General features: G+C 50.3%; 1 protein-coding gene across 3 annotated transcripts in view; it reads right to left on the bottom strand.

Moving 5' to 3' along the window:
* Positions 1 to 14,968, bottom strand: part of MARK4 (microtubule affinity regulating kinase 4) — a 54,014-nt gene that overhangs the window by 15,364 nt on the left and 23,682 nt on the right. For all 3 annotated transcript variants that reach the window (NM_031417.4, NM_001199867.2, XM_006723307.5), the window contains 5 exons: positions 11,879 to 11,998; positions 11,306 to 11,405; positions 9,438 to 9,547; positions 9,187 to 9,346; positions 2,257 to 2,474 (listed from right to left, as the gene is read on the bottom strand). In NM_031417.4, coding sequence (NP_113605.2) covers positions 2,257 to 2,474; positions 9,187 to 9,346; positions 9,438 to 9,547; positions 11,306 to 11,405; positions 11,879 to 11,998 — 708 coding nt within the window. The remainder of the gene's footprint in view (positions 1 to 2,256; positions 2,475 to 9,186; positions 9,347 to 9,437; positions 9,548 to 11,305; positions 11,406 to 11,878; positions 11,999 to 14,968) is intronic.

Raw genomic sequence — 14,968 nt, 5'->3', positions numbered from 1 at the left:
CTCACCATTTTGCACAGGTTGGTCTCGAACTCCTGAGCTCAAGCAATCCACCCACCTCAGCCTTGCAAAGTGCTGGAATTACAGGCGTGAGCCACCATGTCTGACTAAAAACTTAATTTTTATGACTTTTTGTTTTGTTTTGTTTTGTTTTGAGACAGAGTCTTGCTCTGTCGCCCAGGCTGGAGTGCAGTGGCGTGATCTCGGCTCACTGCAACTTCTGCCTCCTGGGTTCAAGCAATTCTCCTGCCTCAGCCTCCTGAGTAGCTGGGATTACAGGCGTGCACCACCACGCCTGGCTAAGTTTTGTATTTTTAGTAGAAATGGGGTTTCACCATGGTGGCCAGGCTGGTCTCGAACTCCCGACCTCATGATCCGCCCACCTTGGGCCTCCCAAAGTGCTGAGATTATAGGCATGAGCCACCGTGCCCAGCCAACTTATTTGTTAAAGAGCAAAATCTTATGGTAAAGGATAACTATAAGTATTTTGTGTCTGTGTGGGTGGTGACCCATGCTTTTTTTTTTTTTTTTTTTTTTTGAAACAGAGTCTTGCTCTGTCACCAGGCTGGAGTGCAGTGGCACGATCTCGGCTCACTGCAACCTCTGCCTCCTGGGTTCAAGCAATTCTCCTGCCTCAGCCTCCTGAGTAGCTGGGACTACAGGCATGCGCCACCACAGCCAGCTAATTTTTGTATTTTTAGTATAGATGGGGTTTCACCATGTTGGCCAGGTGGTCTCGATCTCTTGACCTCATGATCCACCCTCCTCGGACTCCCAAAGTGCTGGGATTATAGGCGTGAGCCACCGCGCCTGGCAGGTGACCCATACTTTTAAAAGTTTAGGCCCACAATTGGCTCAGACTCACACCTGTGTGCACCCTGGTCAAGGCTGGGACTTGACTGGTAGTAACCTGCCGTGACCAGCCTCGAAAGGCCAAGGGCACAGCCACGTGGGGCGGCTACTGAACATGTGCAGAGCAGAAGAGCAGGGAGTGGGACCGAATGTAGATGCCGGAAGAGCTGAGGAGCTGGGGAAGCTGCTGCTGCTTCCCACGACTTTTTTTTTTTTTTTTTTGAGACAGAGTCTTGCTCTGTCACCCAGACTGGAGTGCAGTGGTATGATCTTGGCTCACTGCAACTTCTGCCTCCCGGGTTCAAGCGATTCTCCTGCCTCACCCTCCAGAGTAGCTGGGACTACAGGTGCATGCCACCATGCCCAGCTAATTTTTTGTATTTTTAGTAGAATTGAGGTTTCACTGTGTTAGCCACGACGGTCTCGATCTCCTGACCTCATGATCTGCCCGCCTTGGCCTCCCAAAGTGCTGGGATTACAGGCATGAGCCATTGCACCTGGCTTTTTTTTTTTTTTTTTGAAATGGAGTCTCACTCTGTCACCTATCCTGGAGTGCAGTAGCGCAATCTTAGCTCACTGTAGCTTCCGCCTCCTGGGTTCAAGCGATTCTCCTGCCTCAGCCTCCCAAGTAGTTGGGATTATAGGTGCCCGCCACCACGCCCAGCTGATTTTTATATTTTTAGTAGAGACGGGGTTTCACCATATTGGCCAGGCAGGTCTCAAATTCCTGACCTCAAGTGATCCGCCCACCTCTGCCTCCCAAAGTGCTGGGATTACAAGCGTAAGCCACTGTGCCTGGCCTGATTTTTTAAATTACTATTAATATTTTATTTATTGATTTATTGAGACAGGGTTTTGCTCTGTCACCCAGAATGGAGTGCAGTGGCGGGAACACAGCTCCCTGTAGCCTCAACCTCCTGGGCTCAAGTGATTCTCCCACCTCGGTCTTTCGAGTAGCTGGGACCACAGGTACATAACATGATGCCTGGCTAATTTTTTTGATTTTTAGTTGAGATGGCGTCTGCTATGCTTCTTGAACTCCTGGCCTCAAGTGATCCTCCCGCCTCGGCCTCCCAAAATGCCAGGATTACAAGCATGAGCCACTGTGCCTGGCCTTTCCCACATTTTTAAAAGCACTTAATTTCCTGTATTAAATCCTTTCTGCCAAGAGTACGTTCTGCACTTCTTTGACACAGAACACTAATTTATACGCTAACATCAAATGTTAGTGTATAAACTGAGCTCAGGCAAACAGAGGCACTCGATAAATGTTTGTTGAATGAATGAATGGGTAGAAGAAGGAGTTGGTAAGAAGGAGTTCCGTCTGGGGAATGAGATGAAGGCAGGGCCTGAGGAATGTGGCCCAGGTGGCGCCCCCAGCCCTGCCCCCCAGCCCTGGTCACTCACGGGGGTGCTCGTGCTGTCCTTCCGCCGCTCTGGGATCTCTGCCTTGTTGGGGTTGTGGGCGCTGCTGACCATGGGGCTGGAGGGGGGCAGCCCTCGACTCCCACTCCCCGCGGTGCTGCAGCTCGCCTTCCGGCCTGGCAGCCGCTCCTCCTTCAGCTCCGCCTCCCCCGTGCTCGTCGGGCTGCGTTTGGGGTGCAGGGGTGCAGGGGATGGGCCACCTGGGGGAGGGGGTACCGTTTAGAGCTGGCATCACCACGGAAACCCAGAACTGACTCTGGGGGATCGTTGGAACCTGAGAATTCCTCACGTGGGTTGCAATCTCTGTGTGGGCCATTCTGACAATATCTGTCAAAATTACCTCAAGATTACCAACGCACATATACTGACTTAGAAACTCCAAATCAATGACATCATGCACATACAGGCCATTCATTGCACCTTCTTTTTTTTTTTTTTTTTTTTGAGACAAAGTCTGGTTCTGTTGCCAGGCTGGAGTGCAGTGGTGCGATCTCCGCTCACTGCAACCTCCACCTCCTGGGTTCAAGCAATTCTCCTGCCTCAGCCTCCCAAGTAGCTGGAATTACAGGTGTGTGCCACCCCACCTGGCCTGTACCATTAGACTGGGAACAGCCTAAATGCCCCTTAGTAGAGGAATGACTAGATAAGTCAAGGTATTTCCACAGTGGAAAATTATGCAGCTATAAAAAAGAATAAGGAAGCACTTTATGCACCAGTACAGAATGATCTTCATGACGGACTGGAAAGTAGAAAAGGCAAGACAAGAGATGGGTCAACAATGTGTTATCATTTGTCTACAAAAGCAAAAAAGTGTGTATCTATATCTACTTGCTTATATATGAATATCTCCAAAGGACTATAACTTGTTTCAAAAGGGGAGAATTTATTGTTTTTATATATCTTAAGTTTCCTTCTTTTTTTTAATTTTTTTATTGAGACAGGATCTCACTCTGTTGCCCAAGCTGAAGTACAGTGGTGTGACCTCAGCTTGCTGCAACCTTGGCCTCCTAGGCTCAAGCCATCCTCCCACTTCAGCCTCCCAAGTAGCTGGGACTACAGGCACACACTACCATGCCCACCTAATTTTTGTATTTTTTTTTGTAGAGACAGGATTTCGCCATGTTGTCTAGGCTGGTCTCAAACTCCTGGACTCCAGCGATCCTCCCACCTTGGCCTCCCAAAGTGCTGGGATTACAGGCGTGAGCCACCGCACCCGGTCCCATATTTATCTCTTTACATGTTTGTTTATGAATAAAATCTCTCCAAAGGAATTCATATTAAAACCCATAACAGGGCCAGGCGCGGTGGCTCACGCCTGTAATCCCAGCACTTTGGGAGGCTAAGGCGGGTGGATCACAAGGTCAGGAGATTGAGACCAGCCTGGCTAACATGGCAAAACCCTGTCTCTACTAAAAATACAAAAATTAGCTGGGCATGGTGGCATGCACCTGTAATCCCAGCTACTTGGAAGGCTGAGGCAGGAGAATCGCTTGAACCTGGGAGGCAGAGGTTGCAGTGAGCAGAGATCACACCATTGCACTCCAGTCTGGCAACAGTGCGAGACTCCGTCAAAAAACAAAACAAAAACAACAACAAAAAACCGTAACAGTTGCTGCATTTGAGAAACTGGGAGCTGGGGATATGTGTTGGATGAAGACTTTTTCACTGTCTATCCTTTCCAAACTAACACATTTTCAAGGATGTTATTGTATGAACAATTTCAAAAGCAACACAAAATAATTCTGGTCTCTAGGAACATCTTAGGAATCTACTGTTTTAGAACCCGGGGGTGAAAAGTGATCTCAAACTTGAGAGGGTCAGAAGGTCTGCTTGTTACATCCTCAGGAGCGATACATGCTCAGAAGTCCCAGAACCACAAGCTGAGAGCTCTACAATGACAATGACAGATACCTGGCACCTGCCAGCAATCCCTCTCTGAGAATCCCTGGAACTCAGGTCTCAGTGTGGGGAGTTCTGAAGGTTACCACGTTCTAACCATATGATACCAAAGTCACAAGCTCCTTAGGAACTTTCTGGGCACGCCCTGTCATTTTACAGGTGGGAAAGACAAGACGCAGGGGCAGGGAATGGTTTGACCTCCAGCAATGGTGGGGGTAGGGCAGAAGCACCACTTCCCGTGTGGGGCTCATGCTGGGTCTCAGATTCCCTGACACCTCTCTCCTCCCTCACTTCAGTGTGGAGGGGAGGTCAGAGCGCAGGCTTTCAGCAGCCACTTTGTGCAATGTGTCCTCCTGTGCCCCCATTACAGCAGATTAATCCCAACTGGACTCGATATCAGAGCTCCATCCTGATCCTGATGAGTGGACCAAGGAGATTCTAGCTAACACTTGGGCTGGATTCTTTTTTTTTTTTTTTTTTTTTTTTGAGACACGGCAGTCTGGCTCTATCGCCCAGGCTGGAGTGCAGTGGCACGATCTGGACTCATTGCAACCTCGGCCTCCCAGGCTCAAACCATCCTCCCACCTCAGCCTCTCAAGTAGCTGGGATTACAGGTGCACACCACCATGCCCAGCTAATTGTTTTGTTTTGTTTTTGAGACAGAGTCTTGCTGTTGCCGCCCAGGCTGAAGTGCAATGGCACAATCTCGGCTCACTGCAACCTCTGCCTCCCGGGTTCCAGCAATTCTCCTGCCTCAGCCTCCCAAGTAGCTGAGATTACAGGTGCTCACCACCACACCCGGCTAATTTTGATATTTTTAGTAGAGACAGGGTTTCACCATGTTGGCCAGGCTGCTCTCAAACTGCTGACCTCAGGTGATCCACCCAGCTCGGCCTCCCAAAGTGCTGGGATTACAAGGCAAGAGCCACTGCGCCCAGCCTAATTTTTGTATTTTTCTGTAGAGATGAGGTTTCATCATGTTGCCCAGGCTGGTGTCGAACTTGAGAGCTCAAGTGATCCACCCAATTCAGCCTCCCAAAGTGCTGGGATTACAGGCGTAAGCCACTGCACTCAGCCCTGGGCTGGATTCTAAAACTGAGATGTAAGAAATCTAGGAGCGGGCCAGGCGCGGTGGCTCATGCCTGTAATCCCAGCACTTTGGGAAGCCAAAGCCAAAGCAGGTGGATCATGAGGTCAGGCGATCAAGACCATCCTGGCTAACACAGTGAAACCCCATCTCTACTAAAAATACAAAAAATTAGCTGGGCGTGGTGGTGGACACCTATAGTCCCAGCTACTCGGGAGGCTGAGGCAGGAGAATGGCATGAACCCGGGAGGTGGAGCTTGCAGTGAGCCAAGATTGCGCCACTGCACTCCAGCTTGGGCAACGGAGCGAGACTTTGCCTCCAAAAAAAAAAAAAAGAAAAGAAATCTAGGAGTGGCTGGGCACAGTGGCTCACGCCTGCAATCCCAGCACTTTGGGAGGCCGAGGCGGGTGGATCACCTCAGGTCAGGAATTCAAGACCAGCCAGGCCAACACGGTGAAACCCTGTCTCTACTAAAAATACAAAATTAGCTGGGCAAGGTGGCTTGTAATTCCAGCTCGGGGGCCTGAGGCAGGAGAATCAGTTGAACCTGGGAGACTGAGGTTTCAGTGAGCCACCATCGCACCACTGTACTCCAGCCTGGGCGACAGAGTGAGACTCTGTCTCAAAAAAAGAAAAAAAAGAAGAAATCTAGGAGCTGAGAGATCTAGAAAAAGATAAGGTGAGATATGTAAGACAGAGAAAAAAAAGATTAGACAAGCAGACAGCCTAGTACCTGTCCCAGAGTAAGAACTTCACCCCTGCAGACAAGCAGGGCTGTAAAACGAACAGAGTTGGAAAACACCCTGAAAGTTCCTCAAACTATTATTAAACACACAGTTACCAGATGACTCAGCAATTCCACTCCCAGATACGTACCCAAGAGAAATGACGGCAAAACACAGCCACACAAAAACACGGATACAAATGTTCACAGCAGCATCATTCACAACAGCCAAAAAGTGGAGGCAATCCACGTGTTCATGAATGGATAAACAAAATGTGGTCTATCTATGCAATGGAATATTACTTGCCAATGAAAAGGAATGAAGTGCTGATACCCATATCATGGATGAACCTTGAAAACTTTCTGCTAAATGAAAGAAGCCAGTCACTGAAGGCCACACATCGTGTAATTCCATTTACCTGAAATGTCTAGAATAGCCAAATTCATCGACATAGAAAGTAGATTAGTAGCTGAGGGTGGAAGGGGGATTGGAAGTTGATTTTTTTTTTTTTTTTTTTTTTTTTTTGAGAGGAAGTCTCACTCTTATCGCCCAGGCTAGAGTGTAGTGGCGCGATCTCAGCTTACTGCAACCTCCGCCTCCCAGGTTCAAGCAATTCTCCTGCCTCAGACTCCTGAGTAGCTGGGATTACAGACGCCTGCCACTACGCCCGGCTAATTTTTGTATTTTATAGTGGAGATGGGGTTTCGCCATGTTGCCCAGTGGTCTCGAACTCCTGCGCTCAGGTGATCTGCCTGCCTCAGTCTCCCAAAGTGCTAGGATTACGGGCATGAGCCACCATGCCCTGCCTGGAAGTTGATTGCTAAAAGTTGTGAATTTTCTTTTTGGGGTAATGAAAATGTTCTGAAATCGGTCATCATGATAGATGTACAACTCTATAAATATATTAAAGCCACTGAATTGTGCACTTTTTAATTTATTTTTTGAGATGAGGTCTCGCTCTGTAACCCAGGCTGGAGTACAGTGGCGCGATCACGGCTCACCACGACCTCGATCTCCTGGGTTCAAGTGGTCTTCCTACCTCAGCCTCCCAAGTAGCTGGGACCACAGGCGTGTACTACCACACCTAATTTTTAATTTTTTAGGGGGCGGGGTGGCGGAGTCTCGCTCTGTGGCCCAGGCTGGAGTGCAGTGGCGTGATCTCGGCTCACTGCAACCTCCACCTCCCAGGTTCAAGCAATTCTCTGCCTCAGCCTCCCGAGTAGCTGGGATTACAGGTGCCCGCCACCATGCCTGGCTTTTTTTGTATTTTTAGTAGAGACAGGGTTTCACCATCTTGGCCAGGCTGGTCTTGAACTCCTGACCTCGTGATCCTCCCACCTCGGCTTCCTAAAGTGCTGGGATTACAGGCGTGAGCCGCTGTGCCTGGCCAATTTTTAATTTTTTTGTAGAGACGGGGTCTTGCTATGTTGCCTAGGCTGGTCTAGAACTCCTGGGCTCAAGCAATCCTCCTGCCCTCAGCCTCCCAAAGTGCTGGGATTACAGGCGTGAGCCACCATGCCCGGCCTGAATTGTGCACTTTAAATGGGTACGTTGTTTGGTATATGAATTTTAACCTTAATAAAGCCGTTAAAAAAAATAGAAGAGAGGGTTAAAATTTGATGAGTGTGTGGGTGAAGGGACCTCTCAGAAGTCTCCATGCCTAATGGGTGCTGATGGTGGTGTGTATCCTTTTTTTTTTTTTTTTAATTTTTTTGAGATGAGGTCTCTCTGTTGCCCAGGCTGGTGTGCAATGGCATGATCTCGGCTCACTGCAACCTCCGCCTCCCAGTTTCAAGCAATTCTCCTGCTTCAGCCTCCCGAGTAGCTGGGATTATAGGCACGCACCAACACGCCCAGCTAATTTTGTGTTTTTAGTAGAGACAGGGTTTCACCATGTTGGCCAGGCCGGTCTCAAACTCCCAACCTCAGGTGATCCACTCACCTCGGCCTCCCAAGGGATTACAGACATGAGCCACCGTGCCTGGCCCAGATTTAAACTCAGACTCTGTATTCATTTTCTGCAGCAGATGAGATGTCTGTCAGTTGCAGAATGTGGGGTATAATCAGCTGTCCGCCCAGCTCTCTTCCAGAGCCTCCTTTACTTCAGTGTGGAGGCAAAGCCAGAGGGCAGACTCTCAGCAGCCACTTTGTACAACGTGTCCTCCTGTGCCCCAGTTACAATGGATTAATTCAAACTTGACTCTGATATCAGAGCTTCATCCTGGACCAGAGATTCCAGCTGCCATTTGGACTGGTCTCTAAGGTAAGAAATTGGGGGCTGGGTGCAGTGGCTCACACCTGTAATCCCAGTACCTTGGGAGGCTGAGGTGGGTGGATCATGAGGTCAGGAGTATAAGAGCAGCCTGGCCAACATGGTGAAACCCTGTCTCTACTAAAAATACAAAAATTAGCCAGGTGTGGTGGCAGGTGCCTGTAATCCCGGCTACTCAGGAGGCTGAGGCACAAGAATCGCTTGAACCCAAGAGGTGGAGGTTGCAGTGAGCCAAGATCACGACACTGCACTCCAGCCTGGGATACAGAGTGAGACTCTGTCTCAAAAAAAAAAAGAAAGAAAAGAAAAGAAAAGGCTGGGCACAGTGGCTCACACCTGTAATGCCAGCACTTTGGGAGGCCGAGGGTGGATCACGAGGTCAGGAGTTCAAGACCAGCTTGGCCAACATGGTGAAACCCCATCTCTACTGAAAATACAAAAATTAGCCGGGGGGTTATGGCAGGCGCCTGTAATCCCAGCTACTCGGGAGCCTAAGGCAGAAGAATCGCTTGAACCTGTGCAGCAGAGGTTGCCATCAGCCAAGATCACACCACTGCACTACAGCCTGAGGCACAGAGTGAGACTCCATCTCAAAAAAAAAAATCGGGGAGCTGGGACATCAGGAAAAAAGATAGGATGAGATAAGTGAGAGACAAAGGAAAAACCACACAAGCAGAGAGGAAGCAAGACAGAGAGTGTCTGCTCTGGGTCTGGCTGCTTTTCCGGTTTTAATCCCTTCCTGAGCCTGGCTGTGCATTCCTGCCTCCAAGTTCCATGCAATGCCCTGTGTCTTTATAAGACATTCCTCCCTCTCTGAGGTTAGCTCCAGTGGGTTTCTGTTGCTTGCCAATCAGAGAACCCTGACGTAACTGTAAGTCTGGGCCTTGGGGAGAAGGAGGGTGCGTGAGGGCGTGGGGTTGATACTCACAGAAATCGCTATGCCTGCGCTGGCGGTGGTAGGTGGAAGAGGAACTCCGCTGCCCTTTGCTGTGGCTGGTGCCTTTGCTGGAACTTGTTCCGTTGGTGGTGTCGCTGGGCGCCCGCACCCGTGCCAGGGCCAGCCCTGGGGCGCCCCGGTCCCCACCCTCCTGCGAGAGGATGACAGATGAGGCTCTTCTGCACCCCAAGTCCCTCCACCCAGGCATCACGCGTCCCCAAGGGCCCCTGGCGCCCCCTGACCTCAGTCTTCCTGCCCAGCAGGAGGTAGGTGGCGGTCACTTCGTTGTACTTCTGGCTGGTCAAGGACTCTTTGATTTCTTCCCGTGTGTAGCCCATACCCACCATCACCTCTGGGAGGGGGGGATGGAGAGAAGTTTCAGACTCCCAGAAACTTTAACTTCCATCCATTTCTCTTTTTTTTTGAGACAGGGTGTCACTCTGTCACCCAGGCTGGAGTGCAGTGGCACGGTCACAGCTCACTGCAGCCTCGGCCTCCCCAGGCTCTGCTGATCCTCCCACCTCAGTTTTTGTATTTTCAGTAGAGACAGGGTTTTGCTATGTTGTCCAGGCTGGTTTGAAACTCCTGGGCACAAGCAATCCACCCACCTGGGCCTCCCAAAGTGCTGGGATTACAGGCATAAGCCACTGCACCTGGCCCACTTCCACTCATTTCTGTGTCATTCACTGGTGTCTGCTCTTTGACCTGTCCAGTACCCATCCTCCCTTCCCAACAGCACATTGATTTCCTTTGAAAGAACATTCTTTCCGCTCAGATCACGTGGATGGCTCCCCTGCTCCAACCCTAAGGCAGGCGGATAACCCAGGTCTGGCTAATTAGTGTGTTCTACACCCAAAGCCACACTGACTGCTTCATTGAAGGCATGTGACCCAGATCTGCTTGCCTCCTGGAGAGCAGCCTGGGAAAAAGCTACCACAGAAAACATTCCCAACAACTGTCTCTGAGCACCTGGATACAACTGTGCCTGAAGGCTGCATACTCTATTCATTTTAGTTATGTGGCAGAATAAATCATCACTATTAGGTTAAACCATACAAAATTGGTGGTACTGACAATTTTAAACCAAAAAAATGGCAATTTCATATGGTTCAACTTTTTGTTGTGTTCAACCTACTAATATAATTAGGTTGATACAAAAGTAATTCCGGTTTTTGCCATTTAATGGTAAAAACCGTAATTATTGTTATTTTAGATGGAATTTTGCTTGTCGCCCAGGGTGGAGTACAGTGGTGCAATCTCAGCTCACTGCAACCTCTGCCTCCTGGATTCAAGCAATTCTCGTGCCTCAGCCTCCAGAGGAGCTGGGATTACGGGTGCCTGCCACCACACTCATCTAATTTTTGTATTCTTAGTAGAGACGAGGTTTCATCATGTTGGCCAGGCTGGTCTCGAACTCCTGACCTCAGGTGATCTGTCAGCCTCAGCCTCCCAAAGTGCTCAGATTATAGGCGTGAGCCACTGTGCCTGACCTTTTTTTCTTTTTTTGAGACACGGTCTCACCCTGTCGCCTGGAGTGCAGTGGCATGATCATAGCTCACTGTAGCCTCAAATTGTTGGGCTCAAGGGATCCTCCTACCTCAGCTTGCTGAGTAGCTGAGACTACAGGTGCACACAACCACAACTGGCTAATTTTTTATTTTTATTTTTTTGTACAGACAGGGTCTCCCTATGTTGGCCAGGCTGGTCTCCAACTCCTGGGCTCAAGTGATTCTTCTACCTCGACCTCCCAAAGTGCTGGGATTACCAGCATGAACCACCTCGCCTGGTCTCTCTTTATGTCTTAATATCAAAGCGAACATGGGCCGGGTACAGTGGCTCACACCTGTGATCCTGGCAATTTGGGAAGCTGAGGCAGGCAGATCACCTGAGGTCAGGAGTTTGAGACCAGCATGGCCAACATGGCAAAACCCTGTCTCTACTAAAAATAACAAAAATTAGCCGGGCATGGCGGCAGGCGCCTGTGGTCCCAGCTACTTGGGAGGCTGAGGCACAAGAATCTCTTGATTCTGGGAGGCGGAGGTTGCAGTGAGCCGAGATTGCACCACTGCACTCCATCCTGGGTGACAGGATGGCTCTCCCTGACCCTCACCAATTCTCTTGGTGTCCCCGAAGTCCTCCTCGGGCTCTGTGTATGGCTTCAACTCCTCACCCTCATAGCCGATGTTGATCCATTTGTCTTTCATGATTTGCTGCAGGCATCAGGAGCAGGGAAGGGGGAAGACAGGTGTCAGAAGGAACCAGAAATCATACAGCTTCTGCCCTGCCCCAAACCTCCGAGGCCTAACACCCAGAATTGCGGGCTTCCTAAGAGATAGCGCCTCCTGGGCCTCTCTCTCCCCCACGTCCCCTGCCGGAGCCTCCTGATGCCACCCTCCCTCCTCCGCATCATCTGGGTCCCTGGCACCCTGTAATCATCCTAGGAGCTCATTAGCTAATTACTGGCAAGGCAGGGAGTGGGTGAGCCTGTCGGGGGGGTGGCGTCAGGACAGGCCTGGGAGCTTTTCCCTGGACGGCCTGTCTACCCCCACTCACCAGCAGCAGATCTTCGGTGGGCACAGGAGAGGAAAAGTGTGTCAAGAAGGCTTTTGTGGGTGGGGGCAGGCAGAGTTTAGGGGAGTCAGGAGACTAGAAGGGCTCCCGCTGGCTGTGAGGCTGGGCTCACCTCGAGAGTACAGCGTTTAGCTGGGTTCAGCACCAAAAATCTCCGCAGGATGCTCTCACAGTCTGTTGACATGTAGAAAGGGACCCGGTACTTCCCTCTGAGTACTCGCTCCCGCAGCTCCTGCAGGGATGGGGTTACTGGAGGAGGGGGTCTGCCCCGCCCCCCACCTATTACACACACACACACACACACACACACACACACACACACACACACACAACCTTTGTCCCAACCCCTTTGATAGAAGTGACAGAAGCTCTGAGTCCCAGTCCTTGACGAGGTAAGCAAAACCCCATTCCTTTCTCCTGACCTCAGTTCCCTGTCCATAAAATGGGAACATCATATGGACGCTGCAATTTAAAAAAAAAAATTCTTGGCCAGGCGTAGAGGCCAAGACCGGAGGATCGCTTGAGCCCAGGAGTTCAAGAACAGCCTGGGCAACACAGGGAGACCTCATCTCTACAAAAAATAAAAAATGACCTGAGCATGGTGGTGCACACCTGTAATCCAAACACGTTGGGAGGCCGAGGGAGGAGGATAGCTTGAACCCAGGAGTTCAAGACCAGCCTGAACAACCAGCCTGTCTCTACAAAAAAAAAAAAAAAAAAATTTAAGCTACATAACTTTTCATTCAGAGGAAAACTTGCAGAGAAAGTTTATTATCTGGCCAGGCACGGTGGCTCACACCTGTAATCCCAGCACTTTGGGAGGCCGAGACAGGCAGATCGCCTGAGGTCAGGAGTTCGAGACCAGCCTGGCTAACATGGTGAAACCCCATCTCCACTAAAAATACAAAAATTAGCTGGGTGTGGTGGTGGCTGCCTGTAGTCCTAGCTACTTGGGAGGCTGAGGCACGAGAATCACTTAAACTCTTAGGAGGTGGAGGTTGCAGTGAGTTGAGATCACGCCACTGCACTCCAGCCTGGGTGACAGGGCGAGATTCTGTCTCAGAAAAAAAAGGAAGTTTATTCTCTAAGTCAGGTAAGAGGGAGGTAGGTAAGTGAGTCAGCCACTGGGGCCTCGGTCTCCTTATCCGTGAAAGGGATTACAGGACCCACTTCACATGCTTGCTACCAGGGTACAGGTGAGTTAATATCCGTAAAAATGTGGCTGGGCGCGGTGGCTCACGCCTGTAATTCCAGCACTTTGGGAGGGTGAGGCAGGCAGATCGCCTGAGGTCAGGAGATCGAAACCAGCCAGGCCAACATGGCGAAACCCCATCTCTACTAAAAAAAAAAAAAATACAAAAATTAGCTGGGTGTGGTAGCAGACCCCTGTAATCCCAGCTACGCGGGAGGCTGAGGCAGGAGAATCACTTGAACCCAGGAGGCGGAGGTTGCAGTGAGCCGAGACTGCGCCACTGCACTCCAGCCTGGGCGGCAGAGCAAGACTCCATCTCAAAAAAAAAAAAAAAAAAAAATCTGTAAAATGCTTACCACATGCCTGGCCCAGAGCCAGAGAGCGGTATGTAAATATGAGATTCACTCAAGGGGAAGGAGACCCTACTGCCTCTCCTGCCTTCTCGTCTCTCCCCTCCCCCAGCCATGCCTGCTGTCCAAAGAGACACACTCCTCAAGGCCATTCATGGATTTATCTGCTGGCTTTCTCTTTAAGGGCCTTTTATGAGAGGCCCTACCAAAGCTGTGAAAAATAAGATAAATCCATAGCTTGGCAGACCAGGGGGAGCTCTTTCCATCTGAATAAAAAACCGCAATAGGCCAGGCGTGGTGGCTTATGTCTATAATCCCAGCACTTCGGGAGGCCAAGGTGGGAAGACCGCTTGAGCCCGTGAGTTTGAGACCAGCCTGGGCAACACAGCGAGACTCTGTCTCTACAAAAAATACAAAAATTAGCCAGGTGTGGTGGCACATGCCTGTGGTCCCAGCTACTCAGGAGGCTGAAGCAGGAGGATTGCTTGAGCCCGGGAGGTTGAGGCTGCAGTGAGCTGTGACTGCACCACTGCCCTCCAGCCTGGGTGACTGAGACCTTGTCTCAAAAAACAAACAGACAACAAAAAAAACGAAGGGAGGCAGAAAACAGGTAGGAATGAATTGAGCGTTGGGGGTGAACAGGACTCCTTTAGGACAGAGTCCTCTGCTGCAGCATTCTCCTAAAAGGGCTGAAAGATGCCCATGCCTGGGGAGCCTCTGCAGATCATAAAGGGCTATTAATATTTAATTTGGATCACTTTCAGGACACTTACCCCTTAGCAGGCAGTGTTCTAAGTGCTTTATGCATATTACATCCATTTTCACAACGCCGCGAAGCCCGGTTATAACGCCCACTTTCCAGACGAGGAGGTTGAGGCCTGGAGGGGTTTGGTCACTTGCCCCAGGATTGCACAGCCAGAAAGTGGCAGAGCCTTGGCTCTGGAGCCTGTGCTGTGTGACCACCATGCCACACTGCCTATCACGTGATGGGGGAGAAGAAACCATCAGGCCACCACTGCCACCTCCAGCGCAGCTCCCAAGCATGATGCTGTGGCCAGATGCCAAGCTCCAGTGAAGGGCTTAACATATGCAGACGGGCTGCAAGCAGATGCTTTTTTTTTTTTTAAAGAGACAGGCTCTTGTTCTGTCACCGAAGCTGGAGTGCAGTGGCGTGATCATAGTTCGCTGTAGCCTGGAACTCCTGGGCTCAAGCAATTCTCCCACCTCAGCATCCCAAGTAGCTGGGACTACAGGCATGCACCACAATGCCAGGCTAATTTAAAAAATATTTTTTGTAGAGATGTGGTCTTGAAATGTTGCCCAGGCTGGTGTCAAACTCTTTTTATTTTTTTGAGATGGAGTCTTGCTCTGTCGTCCAGGCTGGAGTGCAGGGGCGCAATCTCGGCTCACTGGAGCCTCTGCCTCCCAGGTTCAAGTGATTCTCCTGGATCAGTCTCCCAAGTAGCTGGGACTACAGGCACGTGCCGCCACGCCTGGCTACTTTTTGTATTTTTAGTAGAGACGGGGTTTCACCATGTTGGCCAGGCTGGTCTCAAACTCTTGACCTCCAGTGATCTGCCCGCCTCGGCCACCCAAGGTGCTGGGATTACAGGCATGAGCCACGACACCTGTCCTGAATACTCTTAGTGTCTTCATCTTA

The sequence above is a fragment of the Homo sapiens genome, chromosome 19 (assembly GCF_000001405.40).
Source record: "Homo sapiens chromosome 19, GRCh38.p14 Primary Assembly".
NCBI lineage: Eukaryota > Metazoa > Chordata > Mammalia > Primates > Hominidae > Homo > Homo sapiens.
This window is presented reverse-complemented; position numbering and strand designations above follow the sequence as displayed.